Here is a 25,972-nt window from a genome sequence, read left to right as displayed (position 1 = left end):
GCGATTGTGACACCTGGTGGAGACGTGGGAGGGAGTTGGAATTTCCAATGTGAGGAGAGCAGAGGGGAGGATGTTGGCGTTGGGAGGTACAGGTGAGGGAGTGAGGTGATGGGGAAAATGTCAGTGTCTGTAGGAGCTTAAGAGAAATAGAGCCCCGTGTAACAAAACAAAGCAAAGTCTGTTTTCTCTCCCTTGTTTGTTGTTTTCTTTCTTTTTAAGATTTCTTGCCCAGGAGTGTTCCTGCCTGGCAAACAAGATGTGTACCTCGGGGTCTACCTCATGAATCAGTACCTGGAGACCAACAGCTTTCCCTCTGCGTTCCCCATTATGATTCAGGAGAGCATGAGATTTGAAAAGGTGATCTTGACTTTCTCATTGGCTTTTGTTGTCTGAAGATAACCTGAGAGTTCTTATAAAGAACAGAGTTCTTACAGCATTATTTGGTAAATTTCATTTTTAAAAAAATTATCCGAAAGCACTTCAGCACAATGCAAAACCGCAGTCGGAACACTTGCTTTTGTAATGCAGGTCTGAGCCAAGTTCTGTCAATCTAGTGCTAAATACCCTGGTTGATGTTTCCTATTCTTGGAACTCCCATGGCATTTTTTTAACTGGAGCAAAGAGAGCATTTCTGAATGTTTTTGGAGGTGTTAGAGGTAATTGCATTACATTTACGAAAGGGATTATTAATAAACTGTGGACCTTAGAAAAAACTGTGTTAGACCAAGAAAAATAGCGAAAAAAAAATAATGAAATTAGTTAAATCCTGTAACTAAAATCCTGTAACAAAAAGGCTGTTCAGATTTACTGTTTCCTCAGATCATACCTAGATTATTTAGCTACAGTGATAAAGGCTAGATTCCATTCTGGTGAATAACATGGTGATATAAATAGTCAAAACATTACCAGCCTTCTTCACACTAAACTATTCATAGAATATTGATGTTATTACTATGTCATCACTGACAATCTCTTAACATTTTTGTTTTGGAATTTGGAGATGGAATCAATTTTAACCTTAATAAGTCTAATGATTTTGCCCCAAACAATGTCATTGAGGGAGATCTGGGGAGAAGGAAGGCTACAGAGTAGAGCATGTCACATTTTTTTAAAAAAATTATACTTTAAGTTCTAGGGTACATATGCACAACGTGCTGGTTTGTTATATATGTATACATGTGCCATGTTGGTGTGCTGCACCCATTAACTCATTCCCCCCACCCCACGACAGGCCCCTGTGTGTGATGTTCCCCACCCTGTGTCCAAGTGTTGTCATTGTTCAATTCCCACCTATCAGTGAGAACATGCGGTGTTTGGTTTTCTGTCCTTGTGATAGTTTGCTGAGAATGATGGTTTCCAGCTTCATCCATGTCCCTACAAAGGACACGAACTCATCCTTTTTTATGGCTGCATAGTATTCCACGGTGTATATGTGCCACATTTTCTTAATCCAGTCTATCACTGATGGACATTTGGGTTGGTTCCAAGTCTTTGCTATTGTGAATAGTGCTGCAATAAACATACGTGTGCATGTGTCTTTATAGTAGCATGATTTATAATCCTTTGGGTATATACCCAGTAATGGGATGGCTGGGTCAAATGGTATTTCTAGTTCTAGATCCTTGAGGAATCACCACACTGTCTTCCACATGGGTTGAACTAGTTTACTGTCCCACCAACAGTGTAAAGGTGTTCCTGTTTCTCCACATTCTCTCCAGCACCTGTTGTTTCCTGACTTTTTAATGATCGCCATTCTAACTGTGTGAGATGGTATCTCATTGTGGTTTTGATTTGTATTTCTCTGATGACCAGTGATGATGAGTATTTTTTCATGTGTCTGTTGGCTGTGTAAATGTCTTCTTTTGAGAAGTGTCTGTTCATGTCCTTCACCCACTTTTTGATGGGGTTTTTTGATTTTTTCTTGTAAATTTGTTTAAGTTCTTTGTAGATTCTGGATATTAACCCTTTTGTCAGATGAGTAGATTGCAAAAATTTCCTCCCTTTCTGTAGGTTGCCTGTTCACTCTAATGGTAGTTTCTTTTGCTGTGCAGAAGCTCTTTAGTTTAATTAGATCCCATTTGTCAATTTTGGCTTTTGTTGCCATTGCTTTTGGTGTTTTAGTCATGAAGTCCTTGCCCATGCATATGTCCTGAATGGTATTGCTTAGGTTTTCTTCTAGGGTTTTTATGGTTTTAGGTCTAACATTTAAGTCTTTAATCCATCTTGAATTAATTTTTGTATAAGGTGTAAGGAAAGGATCCAGTTTCAGCTTTCTACATATGGTTAGCCAGTTTTCCCAGCACCATTTATTAAATAGGGAATCCTTTCCCCATTTCTTGTTTTTGTCAGGTTTGTCAAATATCAGATGGTTGTGGATGTGTGGTATTATTTCTGAGGGCCTCTGTTCTGTTCCATTGGTCTGTATCTCTGTTTTGGTACCAGTACTGTGCTGTTTTGGTTACTGTAGCCTTGTAGTATAGTTTGAAGTCAGGTAGCGTGATGCTTCCAGCCTTGTTCTTTTGGCTTAGGATTGTCTTGGCAATGCGGGCTCTTTTTTGGTTCCATATGAACTTTAAAGTAGTTTTTTCCAATTCTGTGAAGAAAGTCATTGGTAGCTTGATGGGGATGGCATTGAGTCTATAAATTACCCTGGGCAGTATGGCCATTTTCACGATATTGATTATTCCTATCCATGAGCATGGAATCTTCTTCCGTTTGTTTGTGTCCTCTTTTTTATTTTGTTGATCAGTGGTTTGTAGTTCTCCTTGAAGAGGTCCTTCACATCCCTTGTAAGTTGTATTCCTAGATATTTTATTCTCTTTGAAGCAATTGTGAATAGGAGTTCACTCATGATTTCGCTCTCTGTTTGTCTGTTATTGGTGTATAGGAATGCTTGTGATTTTTGCACATTGATTTTGTATCCTGAGACTTGAGCATGTCACTTTTAAAGGTCTGGAAAGTGATGCCCAGAAAGTGACCTATCTGTTTCAACCTGAGGTTGACAGTGGAGATGAAGATCAATTTTCTGAAGGGCTAAGGTTGTATGTAACATTTTTATAAATCACAACCTATTAATTTAAATGAAGAATGTACCAAACTGGCTGGATAAGTGAGGAGAGAAATAAATGGCTATTACCTTGGAACATATACTCAGAATCTAAAGGAACTTAGTTCTCCCAGTTAGATGTTAGAAATGGTAAAAAGTTGGTGGTAAAAGTGCAGTCTTTCCCCCATCCCAATAATTTTCTTATTAGTTATATCAATTTTGAATTTGCTCTGTAGAAGCCTTTTTTTTTTTTTTTTTTGGAGACAGAGTGTTGCTCTGTCACCTAGGCTGGAGTGCAGTGGCAAGACCTTGGGGCACTGCACCCTCTGCCTCCCAGGTTCAGGGATCTGCCACCACACCAGGCTAATTTTTGTAGTTTTAGTAGAGACAGGGTTTCACCATGTTGGCCAGGCTGGTCTCAAACTCCTGGCCTCAAATGATCTGCCCGCCTTGGCCTTCCAAAGTGCTGGGATTACAGCATGAGCCACTGCATCTGGCCTGTAAAAGTCTTTAAAAATATTTTTATAAGAAGCCCAAAGATACAAAACTGTAGAAGCACACAACTAGATAACTCCAACCTCCTTGATTTGTCAAAGAGAAGAGTGAGCCTGAGTCACATTTCAGATGCCACTATGGCTCTGTTGAAAAGCTGTACATTTGAGATTACTAGTCAAACAAATCATGGAACCACTTTTTCATTTTATAAAATTCAGTCAATTAATTGTCCTCTTGCATGAGTTGTTTGGGTTCATATTCCTTTCTTCCTGTTGGTTTTAGCTTCCTTGTATCTGTTTCCTTCTCTAGCTGCAACTACTTTCAGCAGGTAGTGAAAAAATTTTCTTTTCCTCGGATCTTCTGTGTAATTCAAAATGGAATTTTCTGAAGCATTTGGGTCAACAAGTTACTCATAAGAATATATAAGTCATTGTTTAAGCAGTTCATGTTGATTATTTACTCCCCAAGATCATACTTGAGAAAATCCTTAGATATGGATATATTAGTTTCCTAGAGCTGCTATACAAAAGTACCACAAATAGAGTGGCTTAAACAACAGAAACATATCATCTCACTGTTCTGGAGGCTACAATTCTTGAAATCAGAGTGTGAGCAGGGACATATTCCTTTTAAAGGCACTAGGGAAGGACCTATTCCAGGCCTCTCTCCTAGTTTCTGGTATAGTTCCTTGGCTTGTGGCAGTGTAATTCCAATATTTACACGGCATTCACTCTGTGTGTGTACTGTTAAAAAAATTGGGGGTGGGGGAAGTCATTAGGCTGGGGCGGCTCCAGTGCTTTAAATTCCTAGGTAAGCAAACTGAAGCCCAATGTAAACAGTAAAACTAGAGTCATTTACCAAACAGATGCCACCAATGAACCTCTAACTAGAGATTTTACCAATAAGAAACTGCCAACTAATCTTTAGCTAGAGACTTTACCTATCAGAAACTGCCAGCTGATCTCTAACTAGGGTCTTTCCACTCCAACAAATTAAATATATTTTCTTTGTCTTATTTTCATGTCAACCTGTAAAAGCCTGCTGCCCATAATGCAGCAGCGGAGGTCTCTGAACCTCTTTTAGTTCTGAGTGCTGCCTAGTTTATGAATCGCTCCTTGCTCAAATAAATTTAATTTTGCCTAAAGTTTTTTTTCTTTTCTTTTTCTTTTTTTTTTAAAAAACAGTTTCTGTGCTCAAATTTTTGCCCTTCCTAAGGACACCAGTCTTATCAGAGGCCTACCCTATCCCAGTATGATCTTATTCTAATTTAAGTAATTTTATCTGCAGTGACCCTATTTGCAAACTAAGGTCACATTCTGAGATACTGGGTTTAAGACTTCATTCCATGAATTTTTGGGGGGACACAATTCAACCCATAACAATGGGTAAAATGAAAGGATTGTTAAAATAATTTAGGCAAAAAAACCCCACTTACCCACATTTGCTTGATAAATCCAAGTCAGTAGGACAAAAATTGATTATATGAGACACTTTCATTTTTGTTTAAGTTTGAATACCATTTAAATCAGAACTTTAAAGCCTGAAATCAAGCTCTGCTGAAAATGTTTTGTTTTTCTTAGGGCCTAGAGCTTAGGGGGAAAGACAGGGTGTACCTTTATTTCAATCCTATCCCAGGCCCTTTTGTTTCAAGAAGAAAATATAAAGATTTGGCAATGGCTAGACAGATATTACAATGTTTTTCTTGTGCTTCACGATACACTTAAAACTTTTGAGACTCTTCTCTCTTTCTTTCCTTATTCTATGGGAGTGTAGCTGCTAGTTGCTAGTACTTAGCTTTTGTTTTGTGTTACGCATAGGTAATATTTCTTTTTATGTTCCTTTTTAGCACAACCAATTGCTTGGAGAGAGAAACCATTCATTCAGTTAACATTTAATGAGTATCTGTTGTATACAGAATGTTTTTCTAGGTAGTCAAACAACACTCTGGGGTTGATTTAAGATGGGCTTTTAGCAACAAACAGTAGAGCTAGGTCAAGTCGATGATATTTTTAGCATGTGGTAGATTTAGCTAATTGAAATTTTCTTGCACTTCTTATTGTTGTGTTAATTATCCTTCATTTATTCTATAATCACTTTTTGAACTTTTAATCAGACACCTATTAAAGGTGCATCTGCTGAATTCTAAAATGTTATGTGACTGGATTTTACATATGTTAATTACTTGGAAGAATATAATTTACGGCTCCTCCCTTCCTTCCTTCCTTCCTTCCTTCCTTCCTTCCTTCCTTCCTTCCTTCCTTCCTTCCTTCCTTTCTTTCACAGGGTCTCACTCTTTCTCCCATGCTGGAATGTGGTGATGCCATCTCGGCTCCCTGCAACCTCTGTCTCCTGTGCTCAAGTGACCCTCCAGCCTCAGCCCCACAAGTAGCTGGGAATACAGGCATGAGCCACCATGCCCAGCTAACTTTTGTATTTTTTGTAGAGAGAGGGTTTCACCATGTTGCCCAGGCTGGTCTGAAACTCCTGAGCTTAAGCAATACACCCACCTCGGCCTCCCAAAGTGCTAGGATTACAGGTGTGAGCTACTGCACCTGGCATTTACAGTTTCTATATGCGCTTATTAATACAACTTTGAAAATTTATTTTCCCCATTTTTCTCTGCAGGTATTTGAAAGTGCAGTAGATCCTGGAGCTGTAGTAGACCTTTTGGAAAGTAGGTACTCTGAAAAACAAAACAAAAAACCAAAAGACTATTGTGTGTAATTCACAGATTCAAAACTCTGCTCTTTTCTAAACTGTGATATGTTCATGTTTGATGAATATTTATTTCAAGACAGCCTACGTAAAATTTGAATCACATTTTTGATTCTGTTACATACCCTTTTCTATATATAGATGGGCTTGGCTGGGCACGGTGGCTCACATCTGTAATCCCAGCACTTTGGGAGGCCGAGGCGGGTGAATCCCTTGAGGTCAGGAGTTTGAGACCAGCCTGGTCAGCATGGTGAAACCCCATCTCTACTAAAAATACAACAAAATTAGCCGGATGTGGTGGCACATGCCTGTAGTCCCAGCTACCTGGGAGGCTGAGGCAGGAGAATCGCTTAAACCTGGGAGGCGGAGGTTACAGTGAGCCGAAATCGTGCCATTGCACTCCAGACTGGGTGGCAGAGCAAGACTCCATCTCAAAAAAAAAAACAACAAAAAAACAAAAAAACTAAATATAGATGGGCTTTGATGGATAGTATGATTCTGTTTGGTTGTTTATTTATAAAAATTGTTTTTATGTGTTTCATTAAATTAGAATATTTTTATCACCACAAAAAGCGGCCCTATGCCCATTAGCAATCACTCCCTATTCCCCACCAGCCCTCCTAGCTATAGGTAACCACTAATCTTTCCGTCTGTATAGATTTGCTTATTCTGGATATTTCATATGAATGAGATTATACAACATGTGCTCCTTTGTGATTGAATTCTTAGTGTAATGTTTTCAAGATTCATCCATATTATAGCATGTGCCAGAACTTAATTTTTTGTATGGCCAAATAGTATTCTGTTGGATGAATATATCACATTTTGTTTTTCTAGTCATCAATTGATGGACATTTGGGTTGTTTCCACTTTTAGGCTATGATGAATAATGATGCTGTGAATATTTGTGTATAAGTTTTTGTGTGAACATATGTTTTAATGCCTCTTGGGTATACCTAGGAGTGAAATTGCTGGGTCATATTGATACAGGAGTGCTGGGAAGAGAAGAGAGTGGTACCTTTAAATGATATGGACCAGGGAAGGGAAGTGCTCGGTACAGGAAGGGTGTGGTCCCTGGCTAGGGCTCCATCCCCACAGACCTAGGTGAGGACAGGCACTCCTGCTTTCCCGCCCAAATGTTGCATTTCCCAAGACCATCCTGGCCCACCATGCCCCCATCCTGTGCCTGTAACAGACGGAGACCCTAGCAAGGCAGAGACAGAAGCGGCTGGACATCGAGAGGAGTACATTGGCACTGGCAGAACGACACGGAGTTTGGCCGGGGCAGTTGGAAGAGAGCCGGGGCTGCCGAGTGGCCCAACTCCAGGGGAAAACCATCTCCCTGCTGGCTCCCCCATCTGCTGAAAGCTACCCCCACTCAATAAAACCTCACACTCATTCTCCAAGCCCATGTGTGATCCTATTCTTCCAGTACACCAAGGCAAGAAACCCGGGGGTACAGAAAGCCCTCTGTCCTTGCGACATGGTAGAGGGTCTAATTGAGCTAACACAAGCCACCTATAGACGGCAAACTGTAAAACACACCCACTGGGGCTTCACAAGCTGTAAACATTCACCCCTAGATAGTGCTATGGGGTCGGAACCCCACAGCCTGCCCCCGTCTGTCTGCTCCTCTAGAGGTTTGAGCAGCGGAGCACTGAAGAAGCGAGCCACACCCCCATCGCACGTCCTGAGAGGGGGACAAAGGAGCTTTTCCCATTTCAATGTGGTAACTGTATGTTTAACCTTTTAAAGAAGTTTCACATTATTTACCAAAGCAGCTGAATCATTTTACATCCCACCAGCAATGTATGAGGGTTCCATTTTCCCACATCCTGGCCGACACTTGTTATTGTCTGTCATTTTGATTGGTAGTCATCTTTGTGGGTGTGAAGTGGTATCTCGTCATTGTTTTGATTTGCATTTCCCTGATGGCTAATGATATTGAACACATTTTCATGAGATATTTGGCCATTTGTGTATTTTCTTTGGGGGAAATGTCTATTCAGATCCTTTGCCTACTTTTTAATGGGGTCATTTGTCTTTATTTTTTGGTTTATTTTGAGACAGGGTCTCGCTCTGTCACCTAGCCTGGAGTGCAGTGGCACGATCATAGCTTACTGAAGCCTCAACTTTCTGGGCTCAAGTGATCTTCCCACCTCAGCCTCTGAAGTAGCTGGGACTATAGGCGCACAGCACCATGCCTAGCTATTTTTTGTTTTTGTTTTTGTTTTGTAGAGACAGGATGCCACTATGTTGCCCAGCTGGTCTTGAACTCCTGGTCTTAAGTGATCCTCTCTCCTGGGCTTCCCAAAGTGTTGGGGTTACAGACATGAGCCGCTGTGCCTGGCCTGTAAATGTTCTTTATATATCCTAGATACAAGACCTTTGTTAGATAGATGATTTGCAAATATTTTCTCCCATTCTAGAATTGTCTTTCACTTTCTTGATGGTATTTTTTTGAAATGCAAAAGTTTTTAATTTTGATGAATTTCAGTTTATCTATTTTTCCTTTGTTGCTTGTGCTTTTGGTGTCATATCTAAGAAACCATTGCCTAACTCAAGGTCATGAAGACTTACATCTATGTTTTCTTCTAATGGTTTTATAGTTTTGGCTCTTACATCTAGATGATTTATACTGTGTTGATTTTTGTAGACAGTGTGATGTTGGGGACCAACTTCATTCTTTTGCATATGGATATCCATTTGTTTTAGCACCATTTGATAAAAGACCATTCTTTCCCTCATTGAATTGTCTTGGTACCCTTGTTGAAATTCAGCTTACAGTAATGTGAGGGTTTACTTTTAGGGTCTCAGTTCTATTCTATTGATTCATATGTCTATTGTTATGCCAACACACAATCCTGTTACCGTAGCTTTGTAATAAATTTCAAAACCAGGAAGTGTAAATCTTCCAGCTTAGTTTTTCTTTTTCAAGACTACTATTTTGGTTCACTTGAGTTTCCATAAGAATTTTTCAATCATCTTGTCAATGTCTGCAAAGAAGCCAGCTAGGATATTGACAGGGATTCCATTGACTGTAGATCAATTTGGGGAGTATTGTCACCTTAACAATATTTTTGAAACATGAATGTGGGATGTGTTTCCATTCATTTAGGTTATTTTACATTTCTTTTTCCTTTTTTTTTTTTTTTTTTGGGACGGAATTTCACTCTTGTTGCCTAGGCTGGAGTGCAATCGTGCGATCTCTGCTCACTGCACCCTCTGCCTCCCAGGTTCAAGTGATTCTGCTGCCTCAGCCTTCCAAGTAGCTGGGATTACAGGCATGCACCACCACGCCTGGCTAATTTTGTATTTTTAGTAGAAACGGGGTTTCTGCATGTTGGTCAGACTGGTCTCGAACTCAGGTGATCCACCCGCCTTGGACTCCCAAAATGCTGGGATTACAGGTATGAGACACCGTACCCAGCCTTTAAATTTATTTTCAATGATGTTTTGTAATTTTCAGTTTACAAGTGTTGCATTTTTTGGTTAAATTTATTCCTAAGTACTCTGAAGCTGTTGTAAGTGGAATTTTTAAAAATTTCATTCTCAGGTTTGTTCAAGTTTATAGAGATCCAATTGATTTTGTTTTTGTTTTTGTTTTTGTTTGAGACAGAGTTTCATTCTTGTTGCCTAGATCTCTGCCTCCCTCATTCAAGCAATTCTCCTGCCTCAGCCTCCCTAGTAGCTGGCATTACAGGCATGCACCACCACACCCGGCTAATTTTTTGTATTTTTAGTAGAGACGGGGTTTCTCCATGTTTGTCAGGCTGATCTTGAACTCCCGGCCTCAGGTGATCCTCCTGCCTTGGCCTCCGAAAGTGCTGGGATTACAGGCGTTAGCCACCGCGCCTGGCCCACAATTGATTTTTATATACTGATATTTTATCCTGAAAACATACTGAACTTGTTTATTAGTTTTAGTAGTTTTTTGCTGATTCCTTAGGATTTTCTATATGCAAAATTATGTCATCTGCAAGTAGAAACAGCTTTACTTCTTCTTTTATAGTTTGTGCGCATTTTATTTCATTTTCATGTCTAATTTCCCTGGCTAGAATCTCCAGTACAGTATTGAATAGAAGCCGTGAAAGTGAGCATCCTTATCTATTTCCTGATAGTAGGGAAAAAGCATTCAGTTTTTCACCATTAGTTGTAATATTAAAATATGGTTTTTTATAAGTGCTCTATATCAGGTTGAGGAAGTTCCTCTTTATTCCTAGTTTACTGAGTTTTTATCATGAAGTAATGTTGAATTTTATCACACGCCTTTTCTACATCTATTGAGATGATCATGTGATTTTTTTATCCTTTATTTCATTGATATGTGATTTTTAGATATTAAACCAACCTTATGGTATATAAGCCTTTCTATATGTTGCTGGATTTGGTTTGCTAGTATTATGTTGAGGATTTTGGGATTTACAATCATAAGAGATATTGGTCTGTAGTTTTGTTTTCTTGTTATGTCTTCATCTGGTTTTGGTAATGCTAACTTCATGGAATCTGTTGGGGTATGTTCTGTCCTCTTCTCTGTTTTTGGAAGAGGTTGTGAATAATTGGTGTTAATTCTTAAGGTAGTATTTACCAGTGAAGCCATCTGGACCTGGGCTTGTCTTTGGGTTGTTTTTTGATTACTAATTTAATCTCTCTACACATTATAAGTCTCTTCAGATTTTCTGTTTCTTCTTGAGTCAGTGTTATTAGTTTGTGTCTTTTTAGGAGTTTTTCCATTTCATTTATCTAATTCATTGGCATAAAGTTGTTCATAGTATTCCCTTAAAAATATTTTTATGGGAGCCCCCATCCATACAACAACAACAACAACAATTAGTGGGGTGTGGTGGCATGTGCCTGTGGTATTTGCTTCTCAGGAGGCTGAGGTGAAAGGATTGCTTGAGTCAGGGAGGTTGAGGCTGCAGTGAGCTGTGATCGTACCACTCTACCCCAGCTTGGGTGACAGAGCAGGACTCTGTCTTAAAAAAAAAATTATTTCTACGCCGGGCACGGTGGCTCATGCCTGTAATCCCAGCATTTTGGGAGGCCAAGGCGAGCAGATCACTTGAGCTCAGGAGTTCAAGACCAGCCTGGCCAATATGGTGAAACCGTGTCTCTATCAAAAATACACACACACACACACACACACACACACACACACACACACACACACACACAAGCTGGGTTTGGTGGTGCTTGCCTGTAATCCTAGCTACTTGGGAGGGTGAAGTGGAAGAATTGCTTGAGCCTGGGTGGCAGAGGTGGCAGTGAACTGAGATTGTGCCACTGCACTCTAGCCTGGGCGACAGAGCAAGACTCCGTCTCAAAAACAAACAAACAAAAAATTATTTCTGTAAAATCAGTGGTAATGTCTCTTCTTTCATTTCTGATTTTAGTAATTTGAGTCTTTTCTCTTTTTTCTTGGTTAGTGTAGCTAAAGGTTTGTCAGTTTTATTGATCATTTTAAACAACCAACTTTTAGATGTATTGATTTTCTGTGTTGCTTTTCTGTTTTCTATTTCATTACTTTCTGCTTAATCTTTATTATTTTCTTTCCTCTGTTTGCTTTAGGTTTAGTTTGCCCTTTTGTGTTCCCAGTGTCTTAAGGGTGAAAAGTGTGTGGATGGTATGACTTTTATTTACATTTTTAAGCTTTATGAAATTTGCAACTGAGATGTTACTCAGTTGAAAGAATTAGGACCAAGGTCACAGATAATAGCAGAATATAGAGAAAGGACCAGACACAAGTACCAAGTGAGCTGAGGCCATACTGGGTAGAAGTCAGAATGGGAGCAGGCTAGGTCTCAGGCTGGCATACCAGGTAGATTGAAGAGTTTGACATTAGGCAAAGAGTGAGTAAGTACCTACAGAGGTAGCATAGGTTAGGGTAGTCACTGAGCAAGTATGTGTCTCATGAAGCCAACAAGGCAATTGGGTATAAAAAATGATGGCTTTGGCATTTGACCTTTTAAAAAGTAGATTCAATACCCAAGTTGATTTCCTGCATTTATATTTCTACCTGAATCTTAAAAAGCAGGAAGGTGAAACATCTCTCTGAGATGGGTCACATCTGTAAGAACACTGATTCTCTCAAGCCTCTTTAAATTCAGAAAAAAAATTCAGCATTTCAAATGATCCTGCAAGAATTGGGATATTTTCATTTCATTTCCCAATATTAACCCTGGGAGGTGTAATGAAGCATAAAAGGACATAACAACCATTCTCTAGGTCACTCATTAATGATTTCCTTTGTCCTTGATATTTAAAGCAAGTATGAATTACGTGATGCCATTCCAGAAGGCAATTAAAAGGTGTAGTTATTTTATCAAGCATCCTAATTAACTCGCTCTGTGGAAGAATAGGATTTTTCAGTGAAGTATCTTGCGGATAAGAGGACAGTCCCTGAGAACTGACTACTTGGGTTCAAATACAGCCCTGTCACTGTTAGCCAGTGTGACCTTGTCCACATTACTATAGTTTCCTCTTTGAGATTTAGTTTCTTCATTCATAAAAATGAGGATAGCCATTGCATTGGACTCATAGAGTTATGATGAGAATTAATTGACTATATAGAATTTAGAGCCTGACCATAATCAAAAAATCAAAAAATAGTAGATGTTGGCATAGATGCAGTGAACAGGTAATACTTCTACACTGCCGATGGGAATGTAAACTAGTACAACCACTGTGGAAAATAGTGTAGAGATTCCTTAAAGAACTAAAAGTAGAACTATCATTTGATCCAGCAATCCCACTGCTAGGGTATCTGTCTACCCAGAGGAAAAGAGGTCATTTTATGAAAAAAATACTTACACACGCATGTTTATGCAGCACAATTTGCAATTGCAAAAATGTGGAACCAATCCAAATGCCCATCAATCAACGAGTGGATATAGAAACTGTGATATGTGTGTGTGTGTGTGTGTGTGTGTGTGTGTGTATATTTCTATATTCCATTATATATGATGGAATACTACTCAACCATTAAAAGGAATGAATTAATGGCATTAGCAATGACCTGGATGAAATTGGAGACTATTATTCTAAGCGAAGTAACTCAGGAATGGAAAATCAAACATCGTATATTCTCACTCATAAGTGGGAGCTAAGCTATGAGGATGCAAAAACAGAAGAATGACATAATGGACTTTGGGGACTCAGGGGGAAAGGGTGGGAAGGGAGTGAGGGATAAAAGACTACAAATAGGGTGCAGTGTGTACTGCTCGGGTGATGGGTGCACCAAAATCTCACAGATCACCACTAAAGAACTTATGTATTTATTTATTTAATTTATTTATTTTTCGAGACGGGGTCTCGCTCTGTCGCCCAGGCTGGAGTGCAGTGGCGCAATCTCGGCTCACTGCAAGCTCTGCCTCCCGGGTTCACGCCATTCTCCTGCCTCAGCCTCCCGCGTAGCTGGGACCACAGGCTCCCGCCACCACGCCCGGCTAATTTTTTGTATTTTTAGTAGAGACGGGGTTTCACCGAGTTAGACCAGGATGGTCTCGATCTCCTGACCTTGTGATCCGCCCGCCTCGGCCTCCCAAAGTGCTGGGATTACAGGCGTGAGCCACGGTGCCCAGCCAAGAACTTATAATCAAACACCATCTATTCCCCAATAACCTGTGGAAATAAAAAAATTTTAAAAAAAGAATTTAGAGGCTGAATCAAACTAAGTGCTTAAATTACTATTGGGGTGATGGTTGGCAAATATATATTCCCTCCTCTCATTTTGAAAGCCTAAAGTTTCAGTCTGTCTTGGTTTTTAAGTTTCTTGGCATTAAAGTTTTGTCCTATGAATTCAAATTTTTTTCGTAAATCTACAAAGTTAGAATTTTACTTTTGTTGTCTGTTTAACATGTTTTCATGGCTGGGCACAGTGGCTTATATCTGTAATCCCAACACTTTGGGAGGCTGAGGTGGGCAAATCACCTGAGGTCAAGAGTTTGAGACCAGCCTGGCCAACATGGCGAAACTCCATCTCAACTAAAAATACAAAAAGTAGCTGGGCGCTGTGGTACGTGCCTGTAGTCCCAGCTACTCGAGAGGCTGAGGCAGGAGAATCGCTTGAACCTGCAAGGTAGAGGTTGCAGTGACCCAAGATCGCACCACTGCCCTCCACCCTGGGTGACAGAGTGAGGCCCTGGTTCAAAAAAAAAAAAAAAAACTAAAATGTTTTCACTTGTTATGTTATTTTGTGAGAATTATCTTTATTGATTTTTTAATTGTTATAATTGCACCAACCTAATATATCATTTAAGTTATCTTAAAGATCTGAATTTTATTCTTGTCCTTATTTTAATTTTATTCTTGTCATTCTACATAGGTTTGCCATTTCTAAATATATTTTGAACTCAAGAAAAGTTTAAAAAGTTTTATATATATATATTTTTTGTTTGTTTGTTTTGTTTTAAGATGGAGTCTCACTCCATTGCCAAGGCTGGAGTGCAGTACACAATCTTGGCTCACTGCAGCCTTCACCTCCCAGGTTCAAGCAATTCTGCTGCCTCAGCCTCCCGAGTAGCTGGGATTACAGGCATCTGCCACCATGCCTGGCTAATTTTTGTATTTTTAGTAGACACGGGGTTTCACTATGTTGGCCAGGCTGGTCTCGAACTCCTGACGTCAGGTGATCCGCTCACCTCGGCCTCCCAAAGTGCTGGGATTACAGGCACGAGCCACTGTGCCTGGCCTTGAAAAGTTATATTTTATGTATAATTTGTATAGTCATATTGCACAATGTTGTAAGCAAGATAAACTTTTGTATGTTAATGGATAACAAGTGGATTTTGAATATTTAAGATGAAAATTGCATTGTTATTTTAGAGCTCTATGTATGTATACACTTATTTATTTATTGTATACACTTTTAGGAGACAAATATTGCATCTTTTTTTTTCAATACTTTTCAGGAGGTGAAATGCTTTTTTTTTTAACTTTTAGGTTTAGGGGTATATGTGCAGGTTTGTTATATAGGTGAACCCGTATCATGGGGATTTGTTGTACAGATTGTCACCCAGGTATTAAGTCTAGTATCCAATAGTTATTTTTTCTGATCCTCTCTCTTCTCCCACCCTTCACCCTCAAGTAGGCCCCAGTGTGTATTGGTCCCCTCTGTGTGTCCATGAGTTCTCATCATTTAACTCCCATTTTTAAGTGAGAACAGGCTGCATTTGGTTTTCTCTTTCTGCATTAGTTTGATAATGGCCTCCAGATCCTTCAAAAGACATGAACGCTTGTTCTTTTTTATGGCTAGTGAAATGCTATTTTTTATAATTCTGTTATTCTCATTCCACTCTCTTGATTGGTTAATTCTAGAAATACCTGATTTGATGTTGGTTTGGCAGTTATTTTTAATTATTATTTTTATTATTATTACTATTAAGTGGGTTTTATGACAGTTTAAAACTTAATAATTATTGAAAGACTGTGGCAATTTTTGGAAGTATTAAAATCTCATTTTTTCCTTTTTAGGCTTCCTAGCCAGGTTTGAATTAATACAGCTAGTTCCTCCAGGTAATGTGGCAGTAAATCCGTTTCTAAATTAGCTTAATATGATTTTAAAATAAATTTGGCCTGTCAAAATGGGGACTGTACTTAAGAGTTGTGTTTGAAAATAACATACAACTTTATGTGTCTGTAAGTTTATATAACACATGCCTTTTTTCTGCCAATCTATTAAATTTTGTCTATTTTCAGAATAATAACTTTATGGTGTTTCATGGCAGGGAGCATAACTTAAACAGACTCCTTGTCTTTCCATTTTTTAATAACTTTATCTAATTATTAAATAATTTTTTCAGTCCTGGCTTAGCTGATTTCAAGTTTTGGCCTTTGGCTGTGTTCTAATTTGTGGGGTGTGTGTGTGTGTGTGTGTGTAAAACCCTAAGACATTTTCATTGTTAGATGCTAGAACAGGGTTGGTAAACTATAGTCCCCAGCCAAATCCAGCCTGTAGGCCATTGTTGTATGGCCCGTGAACTAGAAATGGTTTCCACATTTTTTATTGCGATTTAAATCATATATAATTCGTCATTTTCAAATGTACAATTCAGTTGGTTTTCGTATGTTCATAAGATTGGACAGCCATCACCACTAATTCCAGAACATTTTCATTACCCCAAAACGAAATTCTGTATTTATTAGCAATCATTTCCCATTCCTTCCTCCTCCAGGCCCTGGCCACCACTAATTCTATCTCTGTTGATTTTCTCATTCTAGACATTTCATATAAATAGAAGCCTACAATATGTGGCCTTTTATATCTAGTTTCTTTCACTTAGCCTAATGTTTTCAGGGTTCAGCCATGTTGTAGCATGTATCAGATTTTAATTCCTTTTTGTGCCTGAATAATATTCTTCTATATGGATTGGGTAATGAGGGCTCTACCATTGTGAATGGGTTAATCTATTCATGGATTAATGTACTGATGGGTTATCGTGGGAGTCAGACTGTTGGCTTTATAAGAGGAGGATGAGAGACCTGAGCTAGCATGCTCAGCACCCTCACTATGTGATTCCCTGTGTCACCTGGCTACTAAGCAGAGTCCCCACCAGCAAGAAGGCCCTCACCAGACACAGCCCCTCAACCATGGACTTCTCAGCCTCCATAACTGTAAGAAATAAATAGCTTTTTAAAAATAAATTACCCAGTTTCAGGTATTCTGTTATAAGCAACAGAAAATAGACTAAGACATTTCTACTTTTTGGATGTTATAAATAATGCTGTTTTGAATATTAATGTACAAATTGTTGTATATTTGCTTTTAGTTCTTCTGTGTGTATACCTGGGAATGGGGTATATGGTAACTGTTTAACTTTGTGAGGAACTGCCAAACTATTTTTGGTTTTTACATTTTTAAATGGTTGGAAATAATTTTTGAAATGAATATTTAGTGATGTGAAAATTATATGAAATTCAAATTTCGTTATTCATAAATACAGGTCTTTTTTGAACATAGCCATACTCATTTGTTTAAGTAGTGTTTATAGCCACTTTTGCAGAACAATGACAGAGGTGAGTAAATTTGAACAGATGGCCTACAAAGCCTAAAACATTTAGTAGTCTGACCCTTTACAGAAAGTCTGTGACCCCTGTGCTAGAATCATGAGATTCTAGGAGGAAGCTGTTCTGTGGTACTTTTGCTATGCAGTGTGTCTTGAGTGACATAAGACCTGAGCTGGTGAGAGAGGTTAGGACCTGCCACCCAGTGGCACCAATTCTCATAAATAGCCTTTCAGTATAGCTATCTGGTGATTTTAGGGTTGTTGGCATAGAAGTGTGTGTGTGTGTGTGTGTGTGTGTGTGTGTGTGTGTGAGAGAGAGAGAGAGAGAGAGAGAGAGAATACTGAAAACTCAGAAAATTCTCCTCTGATCTCTGCTATTACGCATTTCTGCTTTTTTTCTTTCTCAAAATGAAAACAGCTTCATAATTTTTACTTGTAAAAAGCATTCCCACATCACGTAATCCTGAGAGAATCTTTATTTATATTTTGATGAACATATTTCTTGATATTTCTCTGTAGATAGAAGAACACATAGATATGGAATTTTTACATAGCATAGTTTTTTTTCTGTTATTAGCTTTCCCCCTTGTATGTCACCATTATATTGTTGTTTAAATTTTTTAAATTTAATTTTATTTTTTATATATATTTTTTGAGACAAGATCTCACTCTGTCACTCAGACTGAATGCAGTGGTATGACCTCCTGGGCTTGAGCAGTTCTCCTGCCTCAGCCTCCCAGTAGCTGGAACTACAGGCATGCACCATGCCCAGCTACATTTTTTTTTTTTTTTTTTTTTTTTTTTTTTTTTTTTGCAGAGATGGCATCTTACTATGTTGCCTAGGCTGGTCTCAAACTCCTGGATGCAAGTGATTCTCCCACCTTGGCCACCCAAAGTGCTGGGTTTATAGGCATGAGCCACCATGCCTTGCCTATGTTGTCATTTCTAAATGCATAAATCTACATCTTTTTTTTTCAAATTGATTTTTTTGAGACAGAATCTAGCTCTGTTGCCCAGGCTGGAGTGCAGTGATGCAAGCTCAGCTCACTGTAACATCCACCTCCCGTGTTCAAGTGATTCTCCTGCCTCAGCCTCCTGAATAGCTGGAATTATGGGCACCTGCCAATGCGTCCAGCTAATTTTTGTGTATTTTTTGTAGAGTCAGGGTTTCACCAAGTTGGCCAGGCTGGTGTCGAACTCCTGACCTCAGGTGATCTGCCTGCTTCGGCCTCCCAGAGTGCTGGGGTTACAGACGTGAGCCACTGCCCCCGGCCTACATCATTATTTTGATAGCTATAAAGAATTTTATTAATTTACATATGTGTTTTTTATAGGTCTATAAATAGTATTTCCATAGTATTTTGGGTTTTACTTTTCTTACTTTACATTATTACCTGTAGTTTACTTGTCATTTTCAATAGCTGTGTATTTTTCCATAGTGGTGGTGTTATCCATAAATTAATATTGTTGAGCATTTAGATTTTCTTTTTTTCCACATTTTTATAAAAATATTTCTCTCTTGGTATATTTACAAATAATAGAATTACTAGATTGAACCATGCCTTTTAAACTGGGGTAAACTGATCCCCAATAAGGTTCCAATACTTCTACTGCATCCAGGAGTGCATGGCATGCCCCTTCCCCATATCCTAGTTAATGCTGGATACTGTCAATTGGATTTGTTGTGTTTGCAAAGTATGTCATGGCTCACGCTTATAATCCCAGCACTTGGGGAGGCCAAGGTGGGCGGATCATGAGGTCAGGAGTTTGAGACCAACCTGGCCAACATAGTGAAACCCTGTTTCTACTAAAAATACAAAAATTAGCTGGGAATGATGTCAGGTGCCTGTAATCCGAGCTACTTGGGAGGCTGAGACAGGAGAACTGCTTGAACCCGGGAGGCAGAGGTTGCAATGAGCTAAGATTGCACCACTGCACTCCAGCCTGGGCCACAGAGCCAGACTCCATCTAAATAAATAAATAGATAAAAATATATTTTATCCTATTTTATGATCTATCTCCCTTTTAGATGTGACTGTGACAACCTTAAATTTAAAACTTCTTAAAAATTTTCATTTTCCCATATTATGATTTGTTTTCTTTCTTTCCTTCTGTATAAAGTGACTGTCACTGTCCTTTGATTACTTATGGAGTGATGTCTGGATATAAATGTTGATTTTGTTATAAATTCTTATTTTTAACAATGTTTTCAATCAGTTATGCTTAAAACAGTTATATTTTCCCTGTTTTGTTGTGTTATTTTGATGTTTTATGGTGTGTGCTTTTCTTTTTCTTAAGAGAGCATGGGAGAAGGAAGATGAGACTAGCAAATGTCTCAACTAAAGCAAAGAGGACTGAGGAGGCTTTTGATAGGGATCATAGTCCTGCCTGCTGTGGATATCACTGGAGCAGGTCAAGGGCCCAAGTGAAGTGCAGTGAACCCAGGAGTCTGTAGTTCTTTCTTCTGCTTCTTGGTTCTTTGGCAAAGGCTGCCGCTGGAGACAGAAAAGAACCCCACTCTGTGAATTTAAGAATAGGTGCTTTTGGAGATGTCATTACCTTCATAGGTAGACGGAACTGAGCAGGTGCCTCCTGACTACTTTTCAGAAATTCTCACTGAATGTTTTTCAGCCTAAAAGTGACAGGCTGAAATCAGGGCATTGAGTTTTTTTCCATAAGTTTTTTATTCTTATTTGACCCAATTTTATGTTCAAACATATATCACTGCTGGCACATTATATTTTAGTATGCTGAGGAAGTAGAAGCATGCCCACTTTGGTCTTATTTAATTTTACATGGATTTTAAAAAAGTTACTCAATACCTAAGTAATCTCACTATAAAAAATTTAACACGAAAGTATGTAAAAGAAAATGTCAAAAGCCCATTCAACAATCCCTGACAGATAATTACCATTAACAATTTGATGTGGGCCAGGTATGGTGGCTTGCGCCTGTAATCCCAGCACTTTGAGAGGCAAAGGTGGGTGGATTGCTTGAGCACAGGAGTTCAGGTACAGCCCGGGAAACATGGTGAAACCTCATCTCTACTGAAAATAAAAAAATTAGCTATGTGTGCTGGTGCATGCCTGTAGTCCCAGCTACTTGGGAGGCTGGGGAGGTCACCTGAGCCAAAGAGGTTGAGGCTGCAGTGAGCTGTGATCTTGCCACTGCACTCCAGCTTGGGCAACAGAGTGAGACCCTGTCTCAACAAAACAAAACAGAACAAAACAATTTGATGTGTGTCTTTTTAAACCTTCTAAAATGCATTTAGTACATTCAGCCAACCGTAAAATAACCACACATGCACGCGCATACCCTATATATAGTTGGACCTTCTGATTGTCAAGTTCCACATCCATGAATTTGGCTAACCATTACTCGAAAATGTAGTTAGGCCTATGATGGTTGTGTCTGTACTGAACATGTACAGACTTTTTCTTGTCATTAGTCCCTTAACAATACAGCATAACAACTATTAGATAACATTTACATTATGTTAGGTATTATAAGTAATCTAGAGATGATCTGAAGTATACAGGAGGATGTGCATAGGTTATATGCAAATATTACACCATTTTATTTCTTATTTTTAATGTTTTATTATTATGCTCTTTTTACCTTCGACCAACTCACCGCAACTACACCATTTTATATCAGGGACTTGAGCATTCATGGATATTTTCATATCTGCAAGGGTTCCTGAAACCAACCTCCTGTGGATACTTAGGGATGACTATATATTAAATACAGTATATATAAACACGAATATATTTAGTATTTAGTATATATAGTTACGTGTGTATATATTTTATGGTTGTTGAATATACTAAATGTTGGTTTTCTGGTCTCTTGAAAGACATATGACAGTCCAAGATATACTGCATTTTAAAAAGTCAGTTGCAGAATATGTATTTTCAACATATATACACACACACCTATATATATGTTGACTATATATATTCTGCAACTTGCTTGTTAAAACTTAATATGTCTTGGAGTGCTATATGTTTTTCATGTGACAAGAAGCCCATCTGTGAAAAGGTTGCAAGAATAGTTGTTTGAAAAGAATGATTGCAGAATATTCTAGCTGAGTGCATAAATACTGGTTATAACTCAAAAATTAATAAGATGCACAATGGGAACTGTGTTATACTTGTTTTTTTAATTTACAATCTCTCAATTTCAGATTATAATTTTAGTGGAATTAAATTTGAATTGCTCAAAATAACAATTGATTTTACTTAGCTTCAGATGTAGTACAGTTTGATCCATTAATTTGTTCAAGGTATGTTTTTACAGGCATACTTTGCACATGATCTACACTGTGCCAGTCTTCCTAGTGTGATGCTGGTGGCTCCGGGCACGTAGTAGTGGCAGTGAGCCCTCATGATCTGCTGATCCTTGATACTAGCAAAAATTTTTTTTTTTTCTTAAAGTTTCCTGTGGACTGCACTGTGGGGTCACATGGGCCATATTTGGGTTCTCAGGGACCAATTTCTCTATTGGCTGAATTGTTACCTTTTCATTTAGCTGTATTTATTGCTTGATATTTTTTCTCATTGCTTTCAAACACACTTATACTCAAAAGACATGTTATGATCATTAAGTTAATGGTACAAGTAAATTAATAATACAAGTAATAATATCCAGATGTGCATATAGCTTTACTGCTAAAGAATGAAGAAGTCTAGTGATCTTTGCTGCCAAGAAATAAAGACCCTTCCTGTTCTTCAGTTTACAAAGGTGGGAAAAAAGGAATGGACACAGGGGGGCAGCGTGATCCTGTTCCACAGTGAGCTTGATGCTTTCTTTTTATTAACCTCTGAGATAAATACCTTCGCTTTGGGTAAGTCAGGTATATTCAGTCCAACTGTAAAAGCCTATTCTAGTGGGCACCCATTCACTTAACAGGGCTTAATTTTATACTTTTATAGCAGTGCTTTTATAGCAATATTTTATACTTTCATAGCAATGCTTTTATACTTTTATAGGCATTAGCAAGGAAAGAACTTTTGCCTCAGATTATTTGGTTTTGAATTCCTTCTTTGCCATGTGGTATCACTAGCCGTGTGGCATCATGACAGGTCAAACTCTCAGAGCCTCAGTTTCCTTATCTGTAAAGAGGGAATCAAATGTGATCCTGCATCTGGAAGCGCGCTGTCAATTCTGACATGCTCTAAAAATGTTGGATATTCCTTCAGCCAATGTTGTTATTAAAATTGTTATTTCTCTTAAAGTCTCATTTGTTTCCTTTTTGGGGGAGAAGTTCGTTGATGCCATTGATGATGTCACTGTCTGTGTAATTAGCTCTTAAGAAGAACATTGAGTTCTTTCAGATACTTCCCTTGACCTATAAGACTTGTTCAGCCTGTGAATATGTTTATTATTTCTAACCTAGGCTCTTGCTGTACCATCCTCTTAGTGTGCTGACGTTTTCACACTTGGTGGCAGTTTGGATTTCTAGAAAATGACCACACCAGAGAGACTGTCTTGAGAAGCTTCATAGCCTTCTATTTATTTGTCTAACCCTGTTTCAGTCTATTTTTATTCCTGTGATTCTGAAGATAGGGTATGAGCTCCCTTTCAATTTTCCAGCCTCTTACTTTTATCTAAATTCTTGATAAACACAGGAATAATAATGTAGCAGCTATCCTTTAGATGCAGGGACAAGAAGTAGCCAAAAGCATATGAAAGGAAAGAGGAAAAAGGAAAGGCCTCCTGTGTAGAACATCATATCATGCATCTAGGTGTTTGTTCCCAGTAGGAACATAATGATGTTTACAGAAACCAAAGCAGTTCTGGGGCCGCTGCTGGGCTGGTGTCAGGGAGCAATCGTGGTAATGGTAGGCAATGTCAGGTGCTATGCTGTGCATTCTACATGGCTTTGTCATTCGTCTTTACAGTAGTCTTAAAGGGCAGGTGCAATGACAGTTTTTACATTTTCTTGAAGAGGAGACTGAAGTTAAGTAGTTTACATGATTTGCCCCAGATCACATAGTTGGTAAGTGGTGGAGCAGGGATTTGAACCCAACCCTGCCTGACCCTAGAACTTGAATTTGTGGTGCGCGTCTGTAGTCCCAGTTACTCGGGAGGCTGAGGCAGGAGAATCGCTTGAACCCGGGAGGCGGAGGTTGCAGTTAGCTGAGACTACGCCATTGCACTCCAGCCTGGGTGACAGGGCGAGACTCCATCTCAAAAAAAAAAAAGAAAAGAAAAGAAAAGAAAAGAAAAGAGTTCTTAACACTATAAGCTTCAGGAGAAAGTTGGGTTTTGTTGCTAGTGATAGCTGGGGAAATTGACACATCACTTTCCATTTGCAGGTTGTACTTCAGAGTTTCTGGATGGAGGCAGAGTCTGTTTTTGGCCAACAAGGGTGGGAGGATTATACCCATCACAGGGAGCATTGTCAGAGGAGCATGGTTGAAGAAGGCCAGGATGAGACTAGTAAATGAAGCAGATAATTGATGTTACAATTACACCCATTGGCTGGGCGTGGTGGCTCACACCTGTAATCCCAGCACTTCGGGAGGCTGAGGCAGGCGGACCACCTGAGGTCAGGAGTTTCAGAGCAGCCTGGCCAACGTGGTGAAACCCCGTGTCTACTAAAAGTACAAAAATTAGCCAGGCTTGGTGGCGGGGTGCCTCTAGTCCCAGCTGCTTGGGAGGCTGAGGCAAGAGAATCACTTGAACCCAGGAGGCAGAGGTAGCAGTGAGCCAAAACTGTGCCACTGCACTCCAGTCTGGGCAATAAGAGCGAGACTCCGTCTCAAAAAATAATAATAATAATAATAATTACACCCATCTTCCCTCCTGTCTTCCTAGCCTCTCTATCTCTTTATTCCTAGTAATTTACTCTTATGGAAATTAATTTTTAATTATACCTTTATTTGTATAATTGTTTAATACTCTTAGACTGTAAGCTCCTGGAGGGCATTGATTATATTTATCTTCTTCACTAGTGTAAATCCAGTGTCTATAAGTCTTACTACATAGGAGGTTCTCAATGAATGAAGTGTTTTTTGAATGTATGAATGAAAATAAATTATTGGAAAATGAATGAAGGGTAAGAGTTGGAAAAGCTTTCAGAGAACATTTAGTCTCTCTCCTTTTTTTAACAGTGTGGAAACTGAGTCTCCAAGAGGGTAGCTAATGCTTATTGAGTGGCTAACGTAAGCTGGAACTTAAGCAAGTTATCTTACTTTAGTCCTCATGTTCATTCATTTAAGAAGCATTTGTCAGGTCCCCATTATGTCCCAAGTGTTGTTCTACAGGTTTGGGGGCAGCATCCAGGATGCTGCACTTCACCACTCATCTCAGAACATCATTGAAGTTCAATTTTAAAATGTCTACCGTTAGTGATATTTCAGGGGGCTTGTTGAAGATGCTGACAGTGAGGCCCCTTTTCAGGTGTGATTGTCTTGGCTGGGCCCTGTATTGATTGAACTGCTCTGAGTTCACACCTTTCTAGGGACAGCCCTGCCAGCAGTAGAATAATGTACAGAAAAGACAAAGTCACTGTTTTCATGGAGCCTTGATGGAAGCAGATCACGAATAAATACATGAACAAAAATATCAATTAGTGGTAAATCTTACGTTGAAAGTAAAATAGGGTATTGTGATGGGGAGTGTCTGGGAAGGAGTGCTCTGTTAGGTTGGGTTGCCACCTTCTGATAAGATGACATTTAAACCAAGCCTGTTATTCAGTAGGAAGGAGCCAGCCATGCAGAGACCCAGAGAGGGAACCTTAGAGGGAGGAAGAACAATAAGGCAAAACCGTTATGTGGAGGAGAGCTTGGCGTGTTTGAGGGACAGCAAGAAGGGTAAGGGATGACAGGGAACGATGATCAAGGGGGAGAGTGGCAATAAATGAATTAGGAGAGATTATTAGAAGCCTGATTATATAGAGTCTTGAAATCTAGGGTAGGGTGCTTAGATTTTATTCTAATGCGATGGGAAGCCCATTGGAAGGTTTTAAGCAGGAGAAAGGCAGTCTGATGTATTTAAAACGTTGCAGCGTGCGGACAATGGATTTGAGTGCAGGAGAATGGAGGCAGGGAGATCAACTACAGCCATGGCAGTAATGCAGGAGAGCATGCATGGTGGAAGTACATTGCTGAGGAGGGAACATCAATCCATTGTGGCTGGAGCGTGGCTGGGAGCACACGAGTGGGAAGAAATGCTATTTATGATGAAAAATATAGAATAATTTCTTTTTGCACTTTGATTCTTTCCTCGGTAGAACTGAAACATTAATATTAAATGGAGTTAGTAGGAGGAAGAATTTAATACATCATATTATTTGATGTAAGGTCAATTATGTTCTACAGTTGATGTACTGAAAACAAAGCAACCCTCATCAGAATTCTTCTCATAAGTAAAGTGGCAGCCACTAAATAGCAAAACTGCCTCATTGGCTATAGTTACTTTTTTGATGGTCCTCTGTGCGGGGACCACTCTCAGTCCAGATCACTTGTGTGGCACCTGCTGTGTGGTCAAAGGTGATTCAGATGGTAGCTTTCTGTCCTTCGGCTCAGTAATTGTTCATCCCATTAGACCCAAGATCTTTTGGTAATGAGTATTTTGTAGTATCCCTTTTATGATACTGAAAATATTTGTAGTTAATATAATCAACTTATACAAGTCACTGTAAAAAATTAATATAATATTCTGATTGTAATATAAAGGAAAAATGAAAGTGGTTTATAATAAAATG

At 39.0% G+C, this 25,972-nt stretch overlaps 1 protein-coding gene across 16 annotated transcripts in view, besides 1 other annotated feature; it reads left to right on the top strand.

The window, feature by feature from the left end:
• Window positions 1-25,972, top strand: part of SPATA6L (spermatogenesis associated 6 like) — a 77,660-nt gene that overhangs the window by 4,225 nt on the left and 47,463 nt on the right. For 5 of the 16 annotated variants that reach the window (NR_148444.2, NM_001353484.2, NM_001416130.1 and 2 more), the window contains 3 exons: window positions 220-357; window positions 6,167-6,215; window positions 15,728-15,769. Coding sequence is in view for 7 of the 16 variants with exons in the window: in NM_001353484.2 (NP_001340413.1) it covers window positions 220-357; window positions 6,167-6,215; window positions 15,728-15,769 (229 nt within the window). In the remaining 9 variants the exon portion in view is untranslated. Of the gene's footprint in view, window positions 1-32; window positions 93-219; window positions 358-6,166; window positions 6,216-15,727; window positions 15,770-25,972 lie in introns of those variants that run through there. The other 11 variants (NR_148448.1, NM_001353488.1, NM_001353490.1 and 8 more) reach the window with 5 other exon arrangements.
• Window positions 14,747-14,919: a silencer, noted in NCBI's record as "fragment chr9:4647337-4647509 (GRCh37/hg19 assembly coordinates)". NCBI's record gives its function as "represses an EF-1alpha promoter that drives an FKBP-Casp9 reporter gene in an ReSE screen in HepG2 liver carcinoma cells {active_cell/tissue: HepG2}" and the evidence as "EXISTENCE:reporter gene assay evidence [ECO:0000049][PMID:32094911]".

The sequence above is a fragment of the Homo sapiens genome, chromosome 9, assembly GCF_000001405.40.
Source record: "Homo sapiens chromosome 9, GRCh38.p14 Primary Assembly".
NCBI lineage: Eukaryota > Metazoa > Chordata > Mammalia > Primates > Hominidae > Homo > Homo sapiens.
This window is presented reverse-complemented; position numbering and strand designations above follow the sequence as displayed.